Here is a 24820-nt window from a genome sequence, read left to right as displayed (position 1 = left end):
CCTCTGGGCTTTGTCCAACGTGGGGCCTTTGACCCCACACTATTTAGAAATCATTGAATGTGCCCTCCTGTCTCATACTTAATTCTACCCTCACCAGAACATGTGTATTTAACAGAGATCCTGGAGGGGTCCCCTATTGTCAGCACCTTGGGGAAAAATCAAGGGCTAAGTGGAAATTGTTAATATTTTGTCTGGAATTTTGGGTCTGGCTAGTTCTTACCTATACCTCCCGGTCTCATGCATTCATGTGTATATTCGTTATTCATCTACCTCCAAAGATACGAAGATGCATAAACTTATCTTGCATAATTCTTGGCACATAGTGGACACACAGTAAGTGGTTGGAATGAAACTAGAAGCTCCCAAACCCAAGTGGGAGACGTATTCGAAACTTCTTCTTTTTTTTATTTTTGAGATGGAGTCTCACTCAGGCTGGAGTTCACTCACTGCAACCTCTGTCTCCCGGGTTCAAGCAATTCTCCTGCCTCAGCCTCCCAAGTAGCTGTGACTACAGGCGCACACCACCACACCTAGCTAGTTTTTGTATTTTTAGTAGAGAAGAGATTTCACCATGTTGGCCAGGATGAGGTAGATCTCTTGACCTCGTGATGCGCCCACCTCAGCCTCCCAAAGCGCTGGGATTACAGGGGTGAGCCACTGCGCCCGGCCTCTATTCGAAACTTCTAACTTGATTGATGAGATGTGCAGTGGAAGGAAAGAGAACACAGACCAACCGCTTTGGTGCTGGTGGTGAGACAAAAAAGGAGCTGAGGGAGACAAAATCCAAGGTGGGTGCCAGGATAGGGGTGGTGGTAGAGACACTGTTTTAAGCTCCATGCAGAAGTTGAAAGCAGGGAGGTATAGGATTTCAGCTTTAACAGGTAGTCTTGATCCTAGGTTCATGACTGTACAAAGAACGTCAGTAGTGGAGTGTGAACTAAAATGTGGGGTGGTGTGAGGGATGGAGCATGGCAGTGGACTGATAAGTGATGTGAGGGCAGAAATATAAGGTAACATGAAGACCCCGTAAATAATTTTGAATTAGAATGGATAGAAGAGAAGGATGCAGAATTCTTGTATTAACTTTCCATACTTATTAATGAAATTTTACCTTGTTGAAGGACATAACATCTCACACAAAAGGAGATGGAAATAGCAGACCAGAAAAGTGTTGATCCTTGCTAGCCATCTACTAGACTAAATGCAAATGAAGGGAAGCTAATGAATCAATACACTGGTGCTGGAAACTGACACAGACAATGTGACTTAATAAAACCCTTTAGAGGAACCAAATGAGACAGTGTACAAAAGCGTCAGCACAGTTCTGAAACTTTTAAGTTCAGCTTTCTCTGGTATAAACAAAAAGGAGAAGGGACATACAAAAATGAAGGAAAGCTTCTTGTGAGATAAGATTTTTAATCATTATTTGCAACATTTGATTTTTTAAATTTATTTTTTCACTTTTTTTTAAAATATAAAAACAAGGTCTTTATATGTTGCCCAGACTGGCCTTGAACTCCTAACCTCAAGCAATCCTCCCACCTTGACTTCCCAAAGTGCTGGGACAACACATGTGAGCCACTGTGCTCAGCCCCCAAATTGATTTTTTTCTTTTCTTTAACAAAAACCCATCCTTGGGGCAGCCGTCTTCAGCTGTATCCAGTTTGCCCAACCCCTTGTCACTCTGCCTTTCCTTCTCAAAACACTTTTCTCTCTTCAGACACCTTTGTGCCTCTGATTCTGGGGCTTCCTGATATTGCTGGAGAAAACTGTACACCTGGATTGATTTGCAGGAAAAAGTAATTTGAGTGACGCAGCCTCAGTGAGATCTCTGTTGTTTTCCATCCTGTTCTCCAGGAATCCTGTCACCTTCCCTACTGAGCCAAGCCAAGCCTTTTTCACTTGCTTCAAATCCCATCCCAGTTCTGGAGCTTTCACACTAAGAAACCTGGAGACTCCTCAAATGTGCTCAATATCCCCTTCATTCTACTGCCATACATATGTATTTATATATATACATATATATATTATGTATACTATATGTATATATAAAAATATATACATATGAATATAATTTATAAATATATATATTTATTATAGAAATACATTATGTTTATATAAATATAATGTATAAAAATACATATATATACACACACATACGCATAGAGAGACAAGGTATCTGTTGTCCAGGCTGGAATGCAGTGGTGCCATCACAGCTCACTGCAACTTCCGCCTCCCAGGATTAAGTGATCCTCCCAACCTCAGCTTCCCAAATAGTTGGGACTACAGGCACACACCACCATGCCTAGCTTATTGATTGAATGATTGATTGGTAGAGATGGGGTGTCACAATGTTGCCCAGGCTTGTCACGAACTCCTGGGCTTAAGTGATCTGCCTGCCTCAGCCTCCCAAAGTGCTAGGATTATAGGTGTGAGCCACCATGCTTGGCCCTACCTCCATATTTTTAATTTCCAACCCATTTTTCTATGTGGCTGGCATGGCCCACGGTGAGGTTTCATAACCTTTACTGCAATGTCCCAACACCTTTGTCCTTAAAACTTTCTTACATTCCTTTAAAATTTATGGAAATAGCTTAATCTCTTTAAACTTGAAATTTATCATAAGAATAGAATAAAGGGGCCGGGCGTGGTGGCTCATGCCTGTAATCCCAGCACTTTGGGAGGCCGAGGCAGGCAGATCATGAGGTCAGGAGTTCGAGACCATCCTGGCTAACACGTGAAACCCCGTCTCTACTAAAAATACAAAAAATTAGCCAGGTGTGGTGGCGGGCGCCTGTAGTCCCAGCTATTCAGGAGGCTAAGGCAGGAGAATGGCGTGAACCCGGGAGGCGGAGCTTGCAGTGAGCCAAGATCGCACTGCTGCACTCCAGCCTGGGCAACAGAAGTGAGACTCCGTCTCAAAAAAAAAAAAGAATAGAATAAAGGAGGTAAATGTTTCTCAGTTTGTTGTCATATAAGCATATGGTACAAAAAGCTTAAAAATTTGACTCATCTGTTGTAGATTTTATTCAGTCCCGACTGGGAAGCAAGAAACTTACAAATAGCCTTATATGAGTCATCACTTATATGAGTCATCACTTACATTTAAATCGTTTCCCTTTTTTTTCCTTTTTTTTTTTTTGAGATGTGAAAATAATGGAAATCTTAAGTTGCCCTGGTATGTAGGCCCACTATTTGCTAGTTAAGCAAGAGAGAACTCAAACTTCATTGTCTCAAAAACCATTCACATTTGACCATTGACAGATCATTTAAGAAGACAATCTTACATTGACTTCCTCTCATTCATGGAATTGGTTTTAAAGAATGGACTCTGTGTCCATTCATTTGCCATACCAAGGTATTCCTGAAAGGAGTAAAAGATGCATGAGCACTTCAGTTGTGATGTCAGCACTTATTTTCCAGGAAAAAAAAAATTCTCTTTAAGAAAAGTAAAACTTCAGCCAGGCGCAGTGGCTCACCCCTGTAGGCCAAGGCGGGCAGATCACTTGAGGTCAGGAGTTTGCGACCAGCCCAACCAACATGGTGAAACCCCGTCTCTACTAAAGATACAAAAATTAGCCAGATGTGATGGCGCATACCTGTAATGCCAAGCTACTCGGGAGGCTGAGGTAGAAGAATCGCTTGAGCCGGGAGGCAGAGGTTGCAGTGAGCCAATATCATGGCGCTACACTCCAGTCTGGGCAACAAGAGCGAAACTCTGTCTCAGAAAAAAAAAAAAAAAAAAAAAAAAGCCAGGCATGGTGGTTCATGCCTGTAATCCCAGCTACTTGGAAGGCTGAGGTAGGAAAATCACATGAGCCAGGGAGGCAGAGGTTGCAGTGAGCTGAGACCACGCCACTGCACTGCACTCCAGCCTGGACAACAAGAGCAAAACTCCGTCTCAAAAGAAAAAAAAAAACCCCAAGAACAACAAAAAAAATTAGCCAGGCGTGGTGGCGCATGTCTGTAATCCTAGCTACTCAGGAGGCTGAGGCAGGAGAACTGCTTGAATCTGGGAGACAGAGGTTGCAGTGAGCCAAGATCGTGCCACTGCACCCCAGCCTGGGCAACAGAGCAAGATTCCATCTCAAAAAAAAAAAAAAGTAAAACTTGGCCAGGCGCAGTGGCTCACACCTGTAATCCCAGCACTTTGGGAGCCTGAGGCAGGTGGATCACTTGAGGTCAGGAGTTTGAGACCATCCTGGCCAACATGATGAAACCCTGTCTCTACTAAAAATACAAAAATTATCCGGGTGTGGTGGCACACACCTGTAATCCCAGCTACTTGGGAGGCTGAGGCAGGAGAATCACTTGAGCCCGGATGATGGAGGCTGCAGTGAGCCAAGATCACGCCCCTGCACTCCAGTCTGGACGACAAGAGTGAAACTCCATCTCAAAATAATAATAATAATAATATTAATAATAATAATATCGGAAGTTTCCCAGCAAAAGTAGATAACTTGCCTTCTGTTGCATTACCCAGTTCCCTGCCTAGGTTCTGTGTTCAGTACAGTATTGAAGTATATCTAAACAGGTACATCAGTGAAAGATAAACTCTGATTGCAAGGAAATGAGCCTATTCTTTAAAAAAAAAAAAAACCTGCTTGGGCCAGGCATGGTGGCTCACACCTGTAATCCCAGCACTTTGGGAGGCTGAGGCAGGCGGATCATGGGGTCAGGAGATTGAGACCATCCTGGCTAACGCAGTGAAACCCTGTCTCTAGTAAAAAATACAAAAAATTAGCCAGGCGTGGTGGTGGGCACCTGTAATAGTCCCAGCTACTCGGGAGGCTGAGGCAGGAGAATGGGGTGAACCCAGGAGGCGGAGCTTGCAGTGAACCAAGATTGCACCACTGCACTCCAGCCTGGGTGACAGAGCGAGACTCCTCTCAAAAAACAAAACAAAACAAAACAAAGCAAAACCTGCTCAGCCAGATGTGGTGGCTGACACCTGTAAACTCAGCGCTTTGGAAGGCTGAAGTGGGCGGATCACTTGAAGGCAGAAGTTTGAGACCAGTCTGGGCAACAAAGTGACACCTCTCCCCACCTTCGACTCTACAAAAAATAAAAAATTCTCTAGATGTAGTGGTGGATGCCTATAGTCCCAGCTACATGGGAGGCTGAAACAGGAGGATCACTTAGGAGGACCACTTGAGCCCAGAAGTTTGAGGCTGTGGTGACCCATGATTCCACCACTGCACTCCAGCCTGGGTGACAAAATGAGACCCTGTCTCTAAAAAACAAAACAAAAACCTTTTTTACTGAAGTGGGATTGACATGTAATAGACTTCACATACAAGTAGATATATATATACATCTATGAAATCATCACAATTAAGATAATGAAATTTATTCTTCTACCTCTTTATAATTCCTCCCTCTCATTCCTCCCCATAGCTTCCTCATATCCCCCTGCTCCTGTCCCCAAGCAATCATGGGTACTTACTGCTTTCTGTTACTATAGATCAGTTTGTATTTTCTAGAATTTTATATGGATGGAATCTTTCAATAGATACTTTTTTCTTTCTTTATTATTATTATTATTATTATTTTACTTTAAGTTCCAGGATACAAGTGCAGAACATACAGGCTTGTTACCTAGGTATACGTGCACCACGGTGGTTTGCTATACCTATCAACTGGTCATCTAGGTGTTGAGCCCCGCACGCATTAGCTATTTGTCCTAATGCTCTCCTTCCCCTCGCCACCCACCTCCTGACTGGCCCTGGTGTGTGTTGTTTGCCTCCTGGTGTCCATGTGTTCTCATTGTTCAACTCCTGCTTATGGATACTCTTTTTTTCATCTGGCGTCTTTCACTCATCCTAATGAATGGGATTAATGGAACAACTGGAAATTCATCCATGTTGTATCAACAATTTATTCCTTTTTATAGCTGACTAGTATTCAGTTGTAATGATATATCAACATTTCTCCATTCACCTATTGATGGACATTTGAGTTATCTTCAGCTTCTGACTATTATAAGTAAAGCTGCTATGAACATTTATATACAAGTCTTTGTATGGATATATGTTTTCATTTTTACCTAAGAATGAAATGGCTAGATTATATGGTAGGTGTATGTTTAACATTTTAAGAAACTGCCAAACAATTTTTCAAAAGTAGTTGTACAATTTTACATTCCCACCAACAATGAGAGTTGCAATTCCTCCACATCCTTGCCAGTACTTGGTATGATCAGTCTTTTTAATATTAGCCATTCCAATAGATGGGTAGTGGTATCTCCATTATGGTTTTAGTTCACATTTTTCTAATAACCAATTATGTTGAACACCTTTTCATATGCTTATTTTTCACCTATATATCTTCTTCTGTTAAGTAGGTTTTCACATTTTTCTCTCTCTTTCCCTCTATCCCCCTTTTTACATATTGGACTTTGAGAGTTCTTTATTCTGGATACAAGTATTTTATCAGATATGATCTGAAAATACTTTCTTCCAATCTGTGGCTTGTCTTCTTTTTTTCTTAACAGTGTCTTTTCAAGAACAGAAGTTTTTAATTTTGATAAAGTACAGTTAATCAAGTTTTTCTTTTATGGATTGTGCTTTTGGTGTCATATCTAAGAAATATTTTCCTAATGCAAGGTTACAACTATTTGTTTTCTATGTTTTCTCTTAGAAGGGTTATAGTTTTTGGTTTTACATTTAGGTCTATGATCAAATTTGAGTTAATTTTTTGTTTATGGTGTGAAGTATAAATTGAAATTCATTTTTATGTGAATATACAATGGTTCAGCACCATTGGTTGAAGACTATTCTTTCTCCGCTAAATTACATTTGCACTTGCATTGAGACTCACTTGTTCATATATGTGTGGATCTAATTCTGGACTCTACTGTGTTCCACTGGTCTATTTGTCTGTCCTTATACCAATACCACACTCTTTTGATTGTACCTTGATGAAATCTTGACATTGGGAAGTGTTAGTCCTTCAACTTGGTTCTTTTTTTTTTTTTGAGACAGAGTTTCGCTCTTGTCTCCCAGGCTAGAGTGCAATGGTGCGATCTCGGCTCACTGCAACCTCCGCCTCCTGGGCTCAAGCGATTCTCCTGCCTCAGCCTCCTGAGTAGTTGGAATTACAGGCACACGCCACTACACCTGGCTAATTTTTGTATTTTTAGTAGAGACAGGGTTTCACCATGTTGGCCAGGCTGATCTTGGACTCCTGACCTCCTCCAAGGTGATGTGCCCGCCTCAGCCTCCTAAAGTGCTAGGATTATAGGCGTGAGCCACCGTGCCCGGCCTCAACTTTGTTCTTTATCAAAGTTATTTTGGCTATTCTAGGTCCTTTACATTTCCATATGAGTTTTAAAATCAGCTTGTTATTCCTATAAAAATGCTGCTGGGATTTTGATTGCGATTGTATTGAATATATAGATAAATTGGGGGAAATTGACATCTTAACAATATGTCTGACCTATATCTGACCCCATGCACAAAGTATATCTCTCGACTTATTTAGGTCTTTAATTTTTCTCAGCAGTACTTTGTAGTTTTCAGTGTACAGGTCTTTCACATATTTTGTCAGATTTACCCCTAAGTGCTTCATATTTTTCTATTCTTGGAAGTAGTCATTTTAAAATTTTTTCTATTCTGATTGTTCATTGCAAGTACAGAGAAATACAATTGATTTTTGTATATTGACCTTATATCACAATCATGACTGTGTACACATGTTAACTACCTTGTTAAATTCACTTCGTTTTGATAACTTTTTTATAGGTTTCTTTGAATGTTCTACATATATGATTCTTTTGTCTACCAATAAAGACAGTTTTACTTACTGCTTTCCAATCTGTATGCCTTTTATTTATATTTCTTGTGCTATTGCAGTGGCTAGGACATTTAGTACAACATTGAATAGAAGTAGTGAGAGTGGACATTCTTGTTTCTGATCTTAGGTGGAAAGTATTCAGTTTTTCCACAGTGAAGTAGCTGATACTACTACCATGATACTAGCTGCAGATTTTTCATGGATGCCTTCTGTCAAGTTGAGAATATTTCCTTTTATTCCTAGTTTGCTGAGAGCTTTTATTGGGAATAGATGTTGTATTTTGTCAAATGCCTTTTCTGCATTTATTGAAATGATCATTTGGGTTTTTTTTTTTTATAATTTGGTGGATTACATTAGTTGTTTTTTGGATGTTAAACCAAACTTGCATTCCTGGTTTTTAAAAGGAAAGAGGTTGTGCAGTTTGAAGATGATATAGTATTTCCTCTTCCTGTAAGAAATCACCCAAGCAAGTGAAAATGAGAAATAGAAATGCAAATATCATGTCTGATGAGACCTTGGAGAGCAGAAACTCCAAACAAATTAGGTGGACAGGTTGCAAAAAAGCAGTGGAAATTGATATAAATTGATATAACAACTTTGGAGATGATTGGGCAACATTTACTAAAGTTGAACATTTGCATACTTTATGACCCAACAATTCTGGTGCAAAAGAAATGAGTGACTCTGTCCACTGAAAGACTTAAAAATATTCGTAGATGTTTTATTGATAGCCAAAACCTGGAAACAATCCAAATGTTCATCAACAAGAGAACGGATAAATTATTGTATTTTCGTACGATGGAATTGTACACACTAATAAAAAAAGAAAAAGAACAAACTGGCCAGCCACCATGGCTCACACTTGTAACCCAAGCACTTTGGGAAGCCAAGGCAGGTGGATTGCTTGAGTCCAGGGGTTTGAGACCAGCCTGGGCAACATGGCAAAACTCTGTTTCTACAATAACAACAAGAAAAAAATACAAAAAGTTAGCTGGGCATGGTGATGGGTGCCTGTAGTCCCAGCTACTTGGGAGACTGAGGCTGGAGAATCGCTTGAATTCAGGAGGCAGAGGTTGCAGTGACCTGAGATCATGCCACTGCACTCCAGCCTGGGCGACAGAGAGAGACTCCATCTCAAACAAAACAAAACAACCATAAAACCAGTTTAATAAAAGAAACAAGAATGTAATTCACTGAATAAACAGAATACAGTAGAATAGTTCTCATAATAGACATAGAAAAAGCAATTTTATAATTCAACATCCATTCTTGACCAAAATTGTTAGTAAACTAGGTCTTGAAAGGAATTTCTTTAACTGAATAAAAGTTAACTACCAGAAATCTACAACAATGTACATAATTCTTAATGGTGGAAACTTAGAAGCAAGCAGTTCATTTTAAATCAATATCAAGTCAAAGATATCTGTGAAGAGCAGTTCAATTTGCCATTGTCCAGGAATCCCAGCTTGCACAGTAAGATGAGGAGCACACAGGAAGAGGCCCTAACCTGATAACATCTGTCTTTTAGATTGATGTGGTCTCTTGGTTTAGAGAGGTTCATAACTTTCATACATGTTACAAATATTTTGCAAGGATACAATATCACGTATTAATTTTAAAAACTGGTATTTTGGGGGCAAGACATTTGAAGACGCAACCTGGAAAATATGACAGAACCAACAGATGTTAAATCAAGTTCTTTTTTTTTTTTTTTTTTTTTTTATTTTTATTGATCATTCTTGGGTGTTTCTCGCAGAGGGGGATTTGGCAGGGTCATAGGACAATAGTGGAGGGAAGGTCAGCAGATAAACAAGTGAACAAAGGTCTCTGGTTTTCCTAGGCAGAGGACCCTGCGGCCTTCCGCAGCGTTTGTGTCCCTGGGTACTTAAGATTAGGGAGTGGTGATGACTCTCAACGAGCATGCTGCCCTCAAGCATCTGTTCAACAAAGCACATCTTGCACCGCCCTTAATCCATCTAACCCTGAGTGGACACAGCACATGTCTCAGAGAGCACAGGGTTGGGGATAAGGTCACAGATCAACAGGATCCCAAGGCAGAAGAATTTTTCTTAGTACAGAACAAAATGAAAAGTCTCCCATGTCTACTTCTATCCACACAGACCCAGCAACCATCCGATTTCTCAATTTTTTCCCCACCCTTCCCGCCTTTCTATTCCACAAAACCGCCATTGTCATCATGGCCCATCCCCAATGAGCCGCTGGGCACACCTCCCAGACGGGGTCGTGGCCGGGCAGAGGGGCTCCTCACTTCCCAGTAGGGGCGGCCCGGCAGAAGTGCCCCTCACCTCCCAGATGGGGCGGCTGGCCGGGCGGGGGGCTGACCCCCCCACCGCCCTCCCGGACGGGGCGGCTGGCCAGGCAGAGGGGCTCCTCACTTCCCAGTAGGGGCGGCCGGGCAGAGGCGCCCCTCACCTCCTGGATAGGGCGGCTGGCCGGGCGGGGGGCTGTTCCCCCCACCTCCCTCCCGGACAGGGCGGCTGGCCGGGCAGAGGGGTCCTCACTTCCCAGTAGGGGCGGCCGGGCAGAGGCGCCCCTCACCTCCCGGACGGGGCGGCTGGCCAGGCAGGGGGCTGATCCCCCCACCTCCCTCCCGGACGGGGCGGCTGGCCGGGCGGGGTGCTGACCCCCCCCACCTCCCTCCCGGACGGGGCGGCTGGCCGGGCAGAGGTTTCCTCACTTCCCAGTAGGGGCGGCCGGGCAGAGGCGCCCCTCACCTCCCGGACGGGGCGGCTGGCCAGGCAGGGGGCTGATCCCCCCACCTCCCTCCCGGACGGGGCGGCTGGCCGGGCGGGGTGCTGACCCCCCCCACCTCCCTCCCGGACGGGGCGGCTGGCCGGGCAGAGGGGTCCTCACTTCCCAGTAGGGGCGGCCGGGCAGAGGCGCCCCTCACCTCCCGGACGGGGCGGCTGGCCAGGCAGGGGGCTGACCCCCCCCACCTCCCTCCCGGACGGGGCGGCTGGCCGGGCAGGGGGCTGACCCCCCCTCCCCCCTCCCGGACGAGGCGGCTGGCCGGGCGGGGGGCTGACCCCCCCACCTCCCTCCCGGATGGGGCGGCTGGCCAGGCGGGGGGCTGACCCCCCCACCTCCCTCCTGGGCGGGGCGGCTGGCCGGGCAGAGGGGCTCCTCACTTCCCAGTAGGGGCGGCCGGGCAGAGGCGCCCCTCACCTCCCGGACGGGGCGGCTGGCCAGGCGGGGGGCTGACCCCCCACCTCCCTCCCGGACTGGGCGGCTGGCCGGGCGGGGGGTTGACCCCCCCACCTCCCTCCTGGACGGGGCGACTGGCCGGGCAGAGGGGTCCTCACTTCCCAGTAGGGGCGGCCGGGCAGAGGCGCCCCTCACCTCCCGGACGGGGCGGCCGGCCGGGCGGGGGGCTGACCCCCCCACCTCCCTCCCGGACGGGGCGGCTGGCCGGGCAGAGGGGCTCCTCACTTCCCAGTAGGGGCGGCCGGGCAGAGGAGCCCCTCACCTCCCGGACGGGGCGGCTGGCCGGGCGGGGGGCTGACCCCCCCCACCTCCCTCCCGGACGGGGTGGCTGCCGGGCGGAGACGCTCCTCACTTCCCAGACGGGGTGGTTGCCGGACGGAGGGGCTCCTCACTTCTCAGACGGGGCGGTTGCCAGGCAGAGGGTTTCCTCACTTCTCAGACGGAGCGGCGGGGCAGAGACGCTCCTCACCTCCCAGACAGGGTTGCGGCCCAGCAGAGGCGCTCCTCACATCCCAGACAGGGCGGTGGGGCAGAGGTGCTCCCCACATCTCAGACGATGGGCGGCCGGGCAGAGACGCTCCTCACTTCCTAGATGGGATGGCAGCCGGGAAGAGGCGCTCCTCGCTTCCTAGATGGGATGGCGGCCGGGCAGAGACGCTCCTCACTTTCCAGACTGGGCAGCCAGGCAGAGGGGCTCCTCATATCCCAGACGATGGGTGGCCAAGCAGAGACGCTCCTCACTTCCCAGACGGGGTGGCGGCCGGGCAGAGGCTGCAATCTCGGCTCTTTGGGAGGCCAAGGCAGGCGGCTGGGAGGTGGAGGTTGTAGCGAGCGGAGATCACGCCACTGCACTCCAGCCTGGACACCACTGAGCACTGAGTGAACGAGACTCCGTCTGCAATCCCGGCACCTCAGGATGCCGAGGCTGGCAGATCACTCGCGGTTAGGAGCTGGAGAGCAGCCCGGCCAACACAGCGAAACCCCGTCTCCACCAAAAAAAAACCGAAAACCAGTCAGGTGTGGCGGCGCGCGCCTGCAATCGCAGGCACTCGGCAGGCTGAGGCAGGAGAATCAGGCAGGGAGGTTGCAGTGAGCCGAGATGGCAGCAGTACCGTCCAGCTTTGGCTCGGCATCAGAGGGAGACCGTGGAGGGAGACGGGAGAGGGAGAGGGAGAGGGAGAGGGAGAGGGAGAGGGAGAGGGAGAGGGAGAGGGAGAGGGAGAGGGAGAGGGAGAGGGAGACGGGAGAGGGAGAGGGAGACGGGAGAGGGAGAGGGAGACGGGAGAGGGAGAGGGAGACGGGAGAGGGAGAGGGAGACGGGAGAGGGAGAGGGAGACGGGAGAGGGAGAGGGAGACGGGAGAGGGAGAGGGAGACGGGAGAGGGAGAGGGAGACGGGAGAGGGAGAGGGAGACGGGAGAGGGAGAGGGAGACGGGAGAGGGAGAGGGAGACGGGAGAGGGAGAGGGAGACGGGAGAGGGAGAGGGAGACGGGAGAGGGAGAGGGAGACGGGAGAGGGAGAGGGAGACGGGAGAGGGAGAGGGAGACGGGAGAGGGAGAGGGAGACGGGAGAGGGAGAGGGAGACGGGAGAGGGAGAGGGAGACGGGAGAGGGAGAGGGAGACGGGAGAGGGAGAGGGAGACGGGAGAGGGAGACGGGAGAGGGAGACGGGAGAGGGAGAGGGAGAGGGAGACGGGAGAGGGAGAGGGAGACGGGAGAGGGAGAGCAAATCAAGTTCTTTTAAGATGGAAAATATTTTCAAGGTAGGGAATTGTCACTGCAGAGTAACCCCAAGTCTTTCAGCAAGCCCCAAAACCTGTGAAATTAACCAGTGTTCACAGCTGTGCTTGCTTTAAAAAATGGAGGCTGGAAGCCAGTAACCACAAACAAGCCACAAGATGAGAAGGGAGCTCAGCAGTGCTACCCTGACCTGAATCTTCACCTCATTACCACATTGAAATCTCCGCCCTGGGGGGTTGGGGGATTGGGGGTGGAGGTGCACTTTGCCGGGGCACATGCAGTGCTGGAGTGAAGGAGAGACTGCACACACTCCAGTTCTCCCTGGAAAGCCCTATCTTTCCAGGAATCCCCGCCCCCAGGCTCTGCCTACTGCCCTAAGACATCTTACAAATCCCTCTTCGCCCTACTCCCACCCCCCCACCCCCCCGCCCCAAGAAGGTGCTTTGAGCACAGGCTCCCCTTCTCCATTCCTTGATCAATGATAAAGTTTCTGCTCTGCTTAACCGAACCTGGTCTCAGTCTATTGGCATGAACGGCACCAAGCAGGGAAAAAACCCCACTGGGATCAAATACCCCCTTGAGGGTCGGTAACAGAATCAGTACAAAGGATGCAAGTATGAGCTCCAGAATATAGATGAAAATGCTCAGCAGAAAAAAAACAAAAACAAACAAACCAAAAAACTTGTCCAAAGGTGGCTGCATCCAGACCCTGTCAGATCCTCACAAATGACAGCTCTTTACCTCAGGGGCATCGGATAATATCAGGCTCAGGCTGTTCCAGGAGTCGGAGTCCCAGCTCAGTATCAGGCCGTTCCTTCTCCAGGGTTCTCAGGAACTCTGCCGTCGACGCCTAGGGGTCTCTAGTGAGGGGAAGTGGCGGCAGGCCGGCGATTTGGGGCAAGGGGTGAGAGTCAACGAAGCTGCCACTGTGATGACAGTGGCCCTAAGATCCCTCTTCTTACCCTCCCGCCCCTCCCCGAGTGCTGGAGTCTTAGCCTGTGGGACACCCCTCCCCGCGCTCTCTCCTCCCACCCCCGCCAAGCCCGCCCCTTCGTTGCCAGAGCCAGAGGGCTCTCCTTGCGCGCTGTCGGTCCCCAGTCCGCGTGCGGCGAGTCCGGGGACATCGGCGCTTCAGGGCCGCCAGCACATGCCCCGTGTGGATGCCCACGGCCTCCCAACCGGGCCGGGCTTGGGATTTCTCTCCCAGCCTCAGACCCTGGCCTGTCCCCCTCTGCCCGAGGGTCATCGCTCCGGCCTCGACGCCCTCCAGCTGCCGCCCTCGCCCCGCTCCGCGCGCCTGGGCCCGGGTGTCCTCGCAGGGTTCCCACCGCAGGGGACCCCCCACCACGCCTTCCCCCGCCTCAGAGCAGCTGCTGTCTGACCAGGCGCTCCTGTCGCCTCAACGCATGCCGCCCGACGTGGCCCCCTCCCTCCCGGCGCGTCTGTGACCACGGCTTCGATGGCCTTGTCCCTGCCCCCGGGCCTTGGTCTAGCGCGCGCCGCACAGGCGTCCTTCCCCTCCCTGACGACCCTGTCTCCTCCCTCATGCCTTGTGGCCGGCTGTCCCTCCCCCACCCCCAGCCCCACTCGGCCTCTCCTAGCCTCCCCCTTTCTCTGCACCCACGAGTCTAAAGGACAGCGCCCCCCTCGCGATGTCCCGCAGCTGGCCCTTGGAGGTTCCTGGGTGTCGCACGGCTTCTTCCTTTCGGGGACCCCTCTCCTTTCCTGAGTGGCCACTGGCGCTCCATCTCTTGAAGGGGTACCCCTCAGCAGCTTGCGCCCCCTGACGCCGCCTTCCCTGTTCCTAGGGGCGGAGGGAAGCCCTACCCCAGGTATCCCCCAGCACATGTGTGCACCGCTGTAGATCCCCCCTCTCCTGAGACGCAAGGCCCCTCTCGCTGACACCGCCTCCGCTCCGGTTCCTTATGCTCTCCTTGACTTTATTTTTCCGGCCAGGCCGAAGTTGTTGCTGGATCCCCGGCCCACAGTCCAATCCCATGAGAGCAGCCTGCGGGGTGCGGTGGGGGAGGGCCGGCAAACACATCCACCCAGCAGCCCAGGTCACACACAGGCCGATAGGAAGGCTCGCCCTTCTTGGCCCAAACCGAAGGGCTTCCACCATGCCCATTCTCCCCAGACTTGCATTTTTAAGCCTTTTAACTCTAAATGGACTTCTTTTTCTACTTTTAAAGGAATTTCAGGAATTACGTTGATGGTATCACGTTTCGCCTCTGCAAGCTCTCTAGCTTTATTGCCTGTTATCTCTATACCCTACTCCCACTTGCCTGCCCCTAGAGTTGTCCATTCCATTCTGTTTATCTTTCGTTTTTATGTGTTCTTGCCAAAAATTGTCTTGTTTTGCTGACATGCTTTTAAATTTGTGTAAGAGGAATTGTATTCTCATTCCATTTCTTTTTCAATGCTAAGATTTTAAGATTGGTTCATGTACCTTCTGCCCCTTCTAATTACTGCCCCTTGGGCCCATCTGCCTTGTTTTACCCTTCCCTTTACCTATCCTGCTCCCACTAGTAACAGTGCAATAGGCATTCTCATAATACCCCCTTATGCTTCACTTCTCAAACAGGGTACAATGTATCACCTGGGAATCTTGTTAAAATGCAGGCTCTTGGCCAGGCACGGTGGCTCACGCCTGTAATCCCAGCACTTTGGGAGGCTATGGTGGGCAGATCACCTGAGGTCAGGGATTCAAGACCAGCCTGGCCAACATGGTGAAACCCTGTCTCTACTAAAAATACAAAAGTTTGTCGGACTCGGTGGCAGGCGCCTGTAATCCCAGCTACTCAGGAGGCTGAGGCAGGAGAATTGCTTGGACCTGGGAGGTGGAGCGCAGTGAGCCGAGATTGCACCACTGCACTCCAGCCTGGACAACAGAGCAAGACTCTGTCTCAAAAAAAAAAAAAAAAAAATGCAGACTCTGATTCGGCCTGTCTGGAGCAGGGCCTGAGACTGTATTTCCAACCAGCTTCCAGGTGATGCCTGTGTTGCTGATTCTGGGACTACATTTTGAGGGGCAAGGCCCTTATGGACCTCTGTGAAAATTCATTCTGGGGTTCTGGGTCCTAGGGTATATGTGGATCTAATTTGATGAGTATTGCCCATCAGCTCTCTAGTCTGGGTGCACCTCCTTACCCCATACCAGCTGGGCAGGAGGGTAAAAGGTATATAGTCTGTGGGGAAAGGAAGAAGGTCTTCTCCTTGCTGCTGCCCACATCCCATCCACTAGAGCATCTGGTCAGGGCCCCAAACTCCTCTCTCCCTTCATTGGAATGGACCCAAGGCTCCAGAGCAACGTCCCTGGCTAGCAATGCATGGCCAAGTCAATGATGGATCTAGGCCAGGCAGCCTGGTCTCTGCCCTCACCACATGGGATCCTGAATCCTCAGCTTGCCATCTAGATTGGCTTGACTCATGACTTCCCTAGGCCTGGGCTTTAGCTCTGATAGGAGCTCTTGAGAAGCCTTGGGGTCTTCAGTTAGTTAGGTTGTTTGTGTTTCCTTTGCCCCCTTCACCTTCCCTTGAGTAGCCTGGTAGGACTCAGATGGCCTGGCCTTGCCACTGGCAACTGGCTATCCTGGGCCTGACTTCTCATCTCTAAAATGGGATGGTCACAGCATAGCTATAATTTGTGGTGCTAGGAGTGGTCCCAGGTCCTTCACTCACATGCCAGAGCCCTAAGACAGGGGTTCTTGCCTTAGTTTTACCCATGAGGAAAGTGAAGTTGAGGAAGGTTTAGCGATTTCCACTAAGGGCATGGAGTTAGTAAGTGAGAGTGCTGGGACTCACGCCCAGCCTCAGCTCATGCACCAAAACCCATCCAACCATGAGACCACATCAGCCCCATGTCCTACCTCGCTCTCACTACCATGCCATAATGCGGGAGAAATACAAAGAAACAGAAAGGAAGGACTGGACCTTGGGTTTTGGCACTGATGCTGAAGGCATCTAATCCGTGGCATGGAGGGTTGCAAAAGTCTAAGGCAAAAATGAACCAGGGTTCTAGGGGCTAGCCCCAAGGCCCTGAGTATTTATGGGACAAAAGAGGGGGACCTTGGGTCTGGGGCTTCAAGAGCAAGGATTTTAGGGTTATACATAAAGCAGGGATCAGAACTGGGCAGGAGTTGGGGATGGCCAGGGCTTGGGTGGGGGTCAGGTGTGGATAAAGTTGTCTATCATGTACCTTACTTGGTAATTACCGATCACTCAATGTTTTGTTGGAGGGGCCAGCAAGTGAACGAACGGCCAGCATTCAGGGCATCAAAGGATTGCCCTTTCCAAAGCCCTTCTGGTGCCTGAGCGGCTTGCTGGGTCAGTTTTGGAAACCCTGGGGCTGTGCTGTCCCCACTCACACAGCTGTGCAAGCATCTGGCACCCAGCCCCAGGCCCAAGCATTTCATAATCAAAATAGTTCAACATCTGCACATTTTGAGATTTCATGGCACATGACCTTTTACATCTTGTACACACTTAACCGACCTCTTGTTTACCATTTTAGGGCCAAAATTCTATCCAGGACAGAGAGTTGATCTGAAAGCCCAGAGAAGCTTCCTGTTCCTTCAACAGTCTTTGGGGTCAAAAGATCTTATGCGCCTACAGAAAGTTCTTAGAGCTCAAAACAACATCTTACAGGTTTTTGGCTTCTACAAAATGCTTCACAAATAGATATTGTCTTTGACTCACAACAACCCCATGACAGAAGTGGCCCACGTAACATTGAGGCTCAAATGAATTAATTGGCCAAGGCCACACATTGTGTAAGTGGGTGAAATGGGATTTCTTGATCATTTTTCCATAACAGACCTTGGGATTCTTAGAGAGTGAGTAGGTGCTGTCTGACCCCAGTTGGCCCATTTCTCAGACTTGGGGATGCAGACTGAGGCAGGAAGTAGGAAGTCTAGGGAGGAGGATGCGTGGGCTGCAAGGTTTGGAGAGCGAGTGAGTTGAGGTCTCCTGGGGCTTCTGGCCAGCCTTCTCCCTGATAGATTTTTGTCACTGGGACCCTCTCTAGAGTCTGTGGTTCTCCTGGAAGTGGAAAGAGGGGATTGGTGGGAGGAATGGCAAGGCCAGTGGTACCCAGGTAGAAGTTCTCAGTGAGTCTGAAGCTGAGACAGCTGAGTGGCTATGAGAAAAAGATGCTGTCAGTTGCCAAGGGGGCCCCACGGGTATCATCACATCCATATGGGCGCTATCAGTGGCTTGGTCAAGCTCTGCCCCTGGCTAAGCAATTTTCACCAATGGCTAAGCCATCTGTCTTGCCCCCTCTTCTCAAAGCCCCCAGCCCCTCACACCAGGAACCTGCAGCATTGACTTGAGGAAGGAGTCCGGGGTCAGGCCAGTCTACCTGTTAGGGACTAGGGGTCTGGGCCCTGCCAAGGCAGGGAGCCCTGATCCCATTGCCCTCCCTCTCCCCGTGGGGTCTCAGGCCCTAGGCCAGGGCTCAACAGACACAGGCAGTGGGATGGGGTTGCCCTTCTATTGATCCAAATCCTGAGTGTCGCCTGGGTGAGTCATGGAGGTGAGGAGGCCCACAAGGCTCAGCAGTGTGGAGAAGAGCAGCAGGAAGGAGGCCGTGAAGAGGAGGGCAGGCAGAGCACTGAGCACCAGCAGCAGGAGAGCCGGTAGCAGGTGGCGCCACACCGCGGCCACGACAGGCCACAAGGAGCTCAGCAGGTGGGAGCCAGTGGTGAAGAGTGCATGGCACAACATCAGTGCCAGCAGCAGGTAGAGTATCCCCTCCAGACCCCACAGCAGGCGCTGCAGCGGTTGCCGCCAGTTCGAGGTGCTCCACCACTGGATCCAGCTCGGGGGCATGTGGCTCACCCACCAGCGCACCCAGCCATGCCTCGTGACCCAGGCTGACCAGGGCACTGCCTGCTGTGGCCCCTCGCCAGCCCCGATGGTATCTGTCTCCACTCGCGGCTGCTGCATCATGTCTGGTGCACCTGGGGAGAGGGCCAGGGTCTTGAAGATGCCTGGGACCTTGGGGGGGGGGGGCAGAGAGGGGGTGCAGGGGTCAGGAGGGCACCAGTGTGCGTGGGGTGGGGCTACAGAATTAGGGACTGGGACTTACCTCTGGGCAGTTACCTAAGTCATGTTGCTTCCTGCAGCGCCCAGGACGGCCTGGCAGGCAGATCCAAGTCCCCACTCTCATCTACCCCCACCCTCCCCAGAGGAGCCCCTTTGTGACCCGGGCTGGGGTGGGGTCCAGCCAAGAGAGGAGTCACTGTAGGGTGTGAGGCCCACCCAAGTCCCTCTGCACGGACCCTCCAGGCTGGCAGGGGAGCCTCGGAGCCCCGCAGATGTAGTTTCTCATGCTTTCTCATGGGAAGCCCTCCCTGGATCCCTGTCCCTTTCCTGCTTTCCCTGCTGGCTGATATCCACCCCTTTCCAAACTGCTCTCTCGCAAGTCTTTCTGTCTGGACCTTCATTCTCTAGAGCCACAGAGGAGGCCAGAGTGGCTGCCCCCAATCCACAGGCTCTGAGGTGGCTGCCACATTCTTCCTTGGGCTCCCTGGCTAGTATCCTACCTTCTCTTGCTGCCCAAAGACTCAGATCCAGGTATCTGATACCTATATTATAGGACTGTGAGGTTCAGGCTGGGAAGAAAGGGGTATCATCCCACCTGCCCAGCCAGGAAGGAGAAAAGGGGGCCTGATGAAGAAGGGTGGTCATTGTATATTTGAAGGACACTGAGTTGTGGGGAGGGGCTCTCAGGCCCAAGGATGGAGGCAGAAAGCCAGGCCAAGCAGGGTCAAGGGCATGCCACAGGCTCTCAGGAGCGGGCCCAGCCCCATGAGCAGCAGCAGCAGTGCGTCCTGGAGGCTAAGTTGTCCTGAGACTGTACCCATTTGCAGGAGTAGAGCCTCCTGCTGTCCAGGACCTTCACCGGCCCCCTGACTCTGGCCCCTGGTGAGAAGTTTGCGCTGTGGCAGAGTGTGACCTGCGGGCCTGTGGAGAGAGAGGGTGGTGACTGGGCTTAGGGAAGTTGTCCACTGGCCCGCCCGCCTACAATGCCCACCTGCCAGGCTGCTGCCCACTTACCTATGGAGCAGGTCAAAGGTGAGGAAGCTGACCAGAAGCAGCAGCAGGGCTGGGCCAGTGGTGGAAAAGACTGCCTGGATTGTCAGTCCTAGTGCCCCCAGCCATAGGACACTGTCCAGGAGCTGGGCCCAGCTAGGGCCCCAGGTGGATACAGGTGGACGCACTGGACTACCTGACCCCTCCCCAGCACCCAGGCCCCTTGGAGGAACTGGGATCGGATCCTCACGTGCTTCGGGTCTGGGTAAGCAGAGCCGGGTCATGGAGAGAGGTGGAGGTGACGGGAAGACCTAGTGCTGAAAAGGATTATAAGGGTGAGAGTAGGGGAAGGGGTAGGGCCCGGGCAGACAGAAGGGTGAGCTCAGAGTGGGGAATTAGGCTCCTGCAGAGTCTCCCCCTCCCCCATACCCACCCAGCAAACCCTCCTCACCTCCTCCCACTTTGGTCAGCATTCTGGGAGTGGGCACCCGGGGCATTGTGACCTGTTACCACGTGGGGCCGTGGGGTAGGGAGGGGGCTGCTGCTGCTGCTGCTCTGACCTCATAAGCAGCTGGTGGCCTAGGTGGGGCTTAGCTGGGAAGTCAGGGATTTCTGAGAACTAAGACTCATCCTCTTGCCTTTGCTGATTCTCTGCCCTAGGGCCCTCCCTTGGGGATCTGAGTTGTCAGGAAGGCATTCTAACCCCATTACTACTTGGGCATCTGTCCAAGGGAGCGAGGTCTGCTTTCTTCTTCCTGTGAGTTTGCAGAGCTGCAGGTCCAGGGCGAAGTCATTCAATATCTCTGTCCCCAGCTGTCTTCCCTGTGGGTCCTTCTAGGGGATTTTTCAGGCCTGAAGTTCCAGATTGCAGAGATGGGCTCTGCCAGGGGACTGCCTGAGGCTTCTGGGGCTGGGCTTCCGCATAACCTGCTAAATGGGGGTGAGAGAGGAGGGGGCTGTTCAGGTATTCTAAGCACTACAGTTTATAGGGGGTGTTATGCATACTGGGGTTCCAGTAATGAGGTAGAGGACATGAACTTAAGAGGACTATGACCTAGTAACCCCCTTATTAGAGGTTAAGGTTACAGTCTGAGAATGGAGTTAAGGAAAATGAACATATAATGAAGGGCTTAGTCACTTGGATTATCAGTATATCAGATTACACTGATCATCTGTAAATGGGTGGTGGCCATAGGGGTCCAGCACATCTCAGTTTAGTGACTTGAGAGGCAAGAGCGGAAATGTGTCATAATTAAGAGAACTTAATCTTTGCCCACATATCATACTTTGAAGGAAAACTGGTAGGGGTGGCAAAATGGGAGACAGTGGCCATACAGCCCCTAGGAGAGGAGGAGACAGAACAAGAATCAGGCTGCATATCCACCTCCAGCAGGCCTTGCCCAGAGACGAGGGTCACCAGCCCTAATGACCATGCACTGATCGCCCTTGGTCTGGCTGTTCTTGCTTATCCAGCAGCTGGGTTTTACGAGTAGATTTGTCCGTAATGGGATAGGGTATAACAGAAGATCCCAGAATTTTTTTTTTTTTGGCATTAAGTTCCAATTGTGCTTGTAAAGGAACATTAAGGTTTAAGATTGGCAATTCCCTGAGCCTGATCAATCCTGGATGCATCCACACAATTGCATTCCTGGACATACAGACCTGGGGAGCATGTCCTGATGAGTCCACCAAGATGAGGCTACTCCATATTGCAGGGCATGGGGGGATCGGAGAGTCTAAAGCTCCTTAAAGATTTACTATGCACCAGGTGCTCTGTATGCATGTATAGGAGAGTTCTGTCTGTGATTTTCTCAGAGTTTATTTTGTATTCAACAATCATTTATTTAAGTGCTTCCTATGTGCCAGGCACTGCACCAGATGGTGGGTGTATTAGGCCATTCTTGCGTTGCTATGAAGAAATACCTGAGACTGGGTAATTTATAAGAAAAGAGGCTTAATTGGCTTGCAGTTTTGCAGGCTGTACAGGAAGTAGGGTACCAGCATCTGCTTTTGGGGAGACCTCAGGAAACTTCCAATCATGGCAGAAGGCAAAGGGTGAAGAGCAAGGGAGAGAGTGGTGGTTAGGGGAGTTGCCACACACTTAAACAACCAGATCTTGAGAGAACTCACTCACTATTTCAAGGACAGCACCAAGCCATGAAATATCCACCCCCATGACCCAAACACCTCCCATCAGGCCCTACCTCCAACATTGGGATTTGAGATTTCAACTTGAGATTTGGACAAATATTCAGACTATATCAATGGGTCATAATTTCTAAAAGTAGAGCCTGAGATGGGGATACTTGTACACATGGTTTATTGAGGGAGTGCTCTGAGGAGGAAAACCTTTCTTTCTATTTTTTTTTTTTTTTTTTTTTGAGACAGAGTTTCGCTCTTGTTGCCCAGGCTGGAGTGCAATGGCGCCATCTTGGCTCACTGCAACCTCCGCCTCCCGGGTTTAAGTGATTCTCCTGCTTCAGCCTCCCAAGTAACTGAGATTACAGGCACCCACCACCACACCCAGCTAATTTTTGTATTTTTAGTAGAGACAGGGTTTCACCATGTCGGCCAGGCTGGTCTCAAACTCCTGACCTCAGGTGATGTGACCGCCTCAGCCTCCCAAAGTGCTGGGATTACAGGTGTGAGCCACCCTGCCCGACCAGAAGGGAAAGATTTTTAAAAATCAAGAGACTCTTCAGAATTGAAGGACATGATTCTCTAGACCATAACTTTCCACCAATTCACAGCCCAATACATGAAACAGGGCAGCTAACATCAAGGCATATAATGAAATTCACATTAGCAGGGATAAAAAGACAATCCTAAGAGCTTCCACCAAATAAAAACATCACATACATCGGATCTGAAGCAAGAATGGTATCACACTTCTAAACACCAATACTGGTAGCTAGAAGACAATAAATGCCCTCAAAATGATGTCTAATATAGAAATGTATAGGTCTGAATGATTATTAATTGGGAGGGTAGAATAATGACATTTCAATCATACAAGGTCTCAGAAATTTGACCTTGCATATACCCTTTCTTAGAAAGCTACTGGAGGATGTGCTTCAGCAAAACAAAGAATTAAACTAAGAAAGAGAGCAATATGGCATTCAATAAATGAGATTAAGCACAGAAAAGGGACGATGAGAAAGGCCTGGGATGTCAACTATACCCCCGGGTAAAGAAAGTAACCAACCCAGCCTGAAATCAGAAGATGTGCTCTAGGAGCGATGTCTCCAGAGGAAAATGAAATCAACTGATTATTAGCTATGTTTGGCTATATTGAGTAAATGTTCAGTTACACTGGAAGCTTTGCGATTGAATTAATGAGTGATGCCTAGAAAACTAAGCAAATGATAAAAACAAAGTAATTACTAACTCCAGGTAGCACAAATTTAAACATAATATTTACATAGTCATAACAAAAGCACTGAATATTGATTCCAAATAGCAATTGAGCTTTACTGAAAATGGAAGGAGGGAGTGTATGTTTGTGTATCTGGATGTGTGTATTGAGGGGAGGGTGGTAGAAAAACTAACGCCTTAATTTCATAGCAGAAATCCACAGATAACAACTACATAAAGAAAAATCAAGAAATGCACAGTGACTCACACCTGTAATCCCAGAACTTTGGGAGGCTGAGGTGGGCAGATCACTTGAGGCCAGGAGTTCAAGACCAGCCTGGCCAACATGGTAAAACCCCATCTCTACTAAAAATACAAAAATTAACTGAGCATGGTGGCAGGCACCTGTAATCCCAGCTACTTGAGTGGCTGAGGCACGAGGATCACTTGAGCCTGGGAGGCAGAGGTTGCAGTGAGCCTCAGCTCACTGCACTCCAGCCTGGACAGCAGAGCAAGAAATTGTCTTTTAAAAAAAAGAAGAAGAAGGAGAAAAGAAAAGAAAAAAGAAAAAAAAGGAAATAGCAAGAAATCTAAGCATAGAGATAAAGACAGGAGAAATAACAAAAAGAACTAAAAGTGCTTGGCTTGGGAAAGGCATAGAGCCGACTCTTCCATTACAAGCCTAAATGTGATTTACCTTTAAAACTATATTGTAGACTGGACCTCTATGGAAAACTGTATGAAGATTTATCAGATAACTAAACAGAGATCTACATTCAATTCAGCAACCTCACTACTGGATATCTACCCAAAGGAAAATAAGTTATTATATCAAAAAGACACCTGCATACATAGTTTATTGCAGCACAGTTCACAATTGCAAAGATATGGAACCAATCTAAGTGCCCATCAACTGATGAGTGAATAGAGGGAATGTGCTATGTGTGTGCATGCACACACACACACACACACACACACACACACACACACACACCATGGAATACTACTCAGCCATAAAAAAGAGTGAAATAATGTCTTTTGGATGGAACTGGAGGTCATTATTCTAAGTGAAGTAACTAAGGAATGGAAAGCCAAATACCATATGTTCTCACTTATAAATGGAAGCTGGCGGGACACGGTGGCTCACTCCTGTAATCCCAACACTTTGGGAGGCTGAGGCGGGTGGATCACGAGGTCAGGAGATCGAGACCATCCTGACTAACACGGTGAAACCCGTCTCTACTAAAAACACAAAAAATTAGCTGGGCGTGGTGGCGGCACCTGTAGTCCCAGCTACTCGGGAGGCTGAGGCAGGAGAATGGCATGAACCCAGGAGTCGGAGCTTGCAGTGAGCCGAGTTCACGCCACTGCATTCCAGCCTGGGCAACAGAGCGAGACTCTGTCTCAAAAAAAATAAATTAAATAAAAATAAATAAATGGAAACTAAGCTGTGGGTATGCAAAGGCATACAGAATGGTATAATGGACATTGGAGACTCAGAAGGAGGAGGGTAAGCGGGGGGTGACAGATAAAAAAAACTGCATGTTGCATACAATGTACACTACTCGGGTGATGGGCGCTCTAAGATTTCAAACTTCACCACTATACAGTTCTCCCCTGTAACCAAAAACCGCTGGTACCCCTAAAGCAATTGAAATAAAAATAGAAACTATG

The 24820-nt window shown here is 49.4% G+C and overlaps 2 protein-coding genes across 7 annotated transcripts, besides 3 other annotated features; both read right to left on the bottom strand.

The window, feature by feature from the left end:
• Window positions 2793–3293: an enhancer, noted in NCBI's record as "H3K4me1 hESC enhancer chr20:2812614-2813114 (GRCh37/hg19 assembly coordinates)". NCBI's record gives its function as "activates a minimal SCP1, AML or CMV promoter by ChIP-STARR-seq in naive H9 embryonic stem cells {active_cell/tissue: H9 hESC(naive)}" and the evidence as "EXISTENCE:reporter gene assay evidence [ECO:0000049][PMID:30033119]".
• Window positions 13586–13967: a transcriptional cis regulatory region, noted in NCBI's record as "candidate enhancer chr20.196 targeted for multiplex CRISPR interference". NCBI's record gives its function as "positively regulates VPS16 gene expression with high confidence in K562 cells {active_cell/tissue: K562}" and the evidence as "EXISTENCE:mutant phenotype evidence [ECO:0000015][PMID:30612741]".
• Window positions 14977–19477, bottom strand: TMEM239 (transmembrane protein 239). Of its 5 annotated transcripts, XR_001754107.2 has the most exons (3): window positions 18846–18959; window positions 18117–18754; window positions 17531–17797 (listed from the first exon to the last, which is right to left on the bottom strand). XR_001754107.2 is itself a non-coding variant. In NM_001318207.1 (2 exons), the coding sequence occupies exons 1-2, from the start codon at window positions 18924–18926 to the stop codon at window positions 18248–18250; spliced, it is 588 nt and encodes a 195-aa protein (NP_001305136.1). In that variant the 5' UTR covers window positions 18927–18959; the 3' UTR covers window positions 14977–18247. The 5 variants fall into 5 exon arrangements, 4 of the variants coding, with proteins under 4 accessions (NP_001305136.1, XP_047295770.1, XP_011527430.1 ...); NM_001318207.1 differs by having other exon boundaries at window positions 14977–18754; XM_047439814.1 differs by lacking the exon at window positions 18846–18959 and adding an exon at window positions 19398–19477 and having other exon boundaries at window positions 17199–18717.
• Window positions 18341–18400: a silencer, noted in NCBI's record as "silent region_12607". NCBI's record gives its function as "represses an Ori minimal core promoter by ATAC-STARR-seq in GM12878 lymphoblastoid cells {active_cell/tissue: GM12878}" and the evidence as "EXISTENCE:reporter gene assay evidence [ECO:0000049][PMID:35858748]".
• Window positions 19431–20274, bottom strand: C20orf141 (chromosome 20 open reading frame 141). 2 transcript variants are annotated; one of them, NM_001256538.2, is made up of 3 exons: window positions 20244–20274; window positions 19817–20109; window positions 19431–19723 (listed from the first exon to the last, which is right to left on the bottom strand). In NM_001256538.2, exons 2-3 carry the CDS (start codon window positions 20074–20076, stop codon window positions 19486–19488), a joined length of 498 nt encoding a protein of 165 aa, NP_001243467.1. In that variant the 5' UTR covers window positions 20077–20109; window positions 20244–20274; the 3' UTR covers window positions 19431–19485. The 2 variants fall into 2 exon arrangements, with proteins under 2 accessions (NP_001243467.1, NP_542777.1); NM_080739.2 differs by having other exon boundaries at window positions 19817–20250.

Source organism: Homo sapiens, chromosome 20, assembly GCF_000001405.40.
Source record: "Homo sapiens chromosome 20, GRCh38.p14 Primary Assembly".
Taxonomy (NCBI): domain Eukaryota; kingdom Metazoa; phylum Chordata; class Mammalia; order Primates; family Hominidae; genus Homo; species Homo sapiens.
This window is presented reverse-complemented; position numbering and strand designations above follow the sequence as displayed.

Bases quoted from the DNA above. Each gene is read 5' to 3' on its own strand.
- TMEM239 (NM_001318207.1), bottom strand. From the start codon at position 18,926: ATGAGAGTGGGGACTTGGATCTGCCTGCCAGGCCGTCCTGGGCGCTGC. The intron at 18,755-18,845 runs GTAAGTCCCAGT...CCCCCCCCCAAG, and splicing joins ACTTAGGTAACTGCCCAGAG to GTCCCAGGCATCTTCAAGAC.
- C20orf141 (NM_001256538.2), bottom strand. From the start codon at position 20,076: ATGACCCGGCTCTGCTTACCCAGACCCGAAGCACGTGAGGATCCGATC. The intron at 19,724-19,816 runs GTAAGTGGGCAG...CTCTCTCCACAG, and splicing joins ACCTTTGACCTGCTCCATAG to GCCCGCAGGTCACACTCTGC.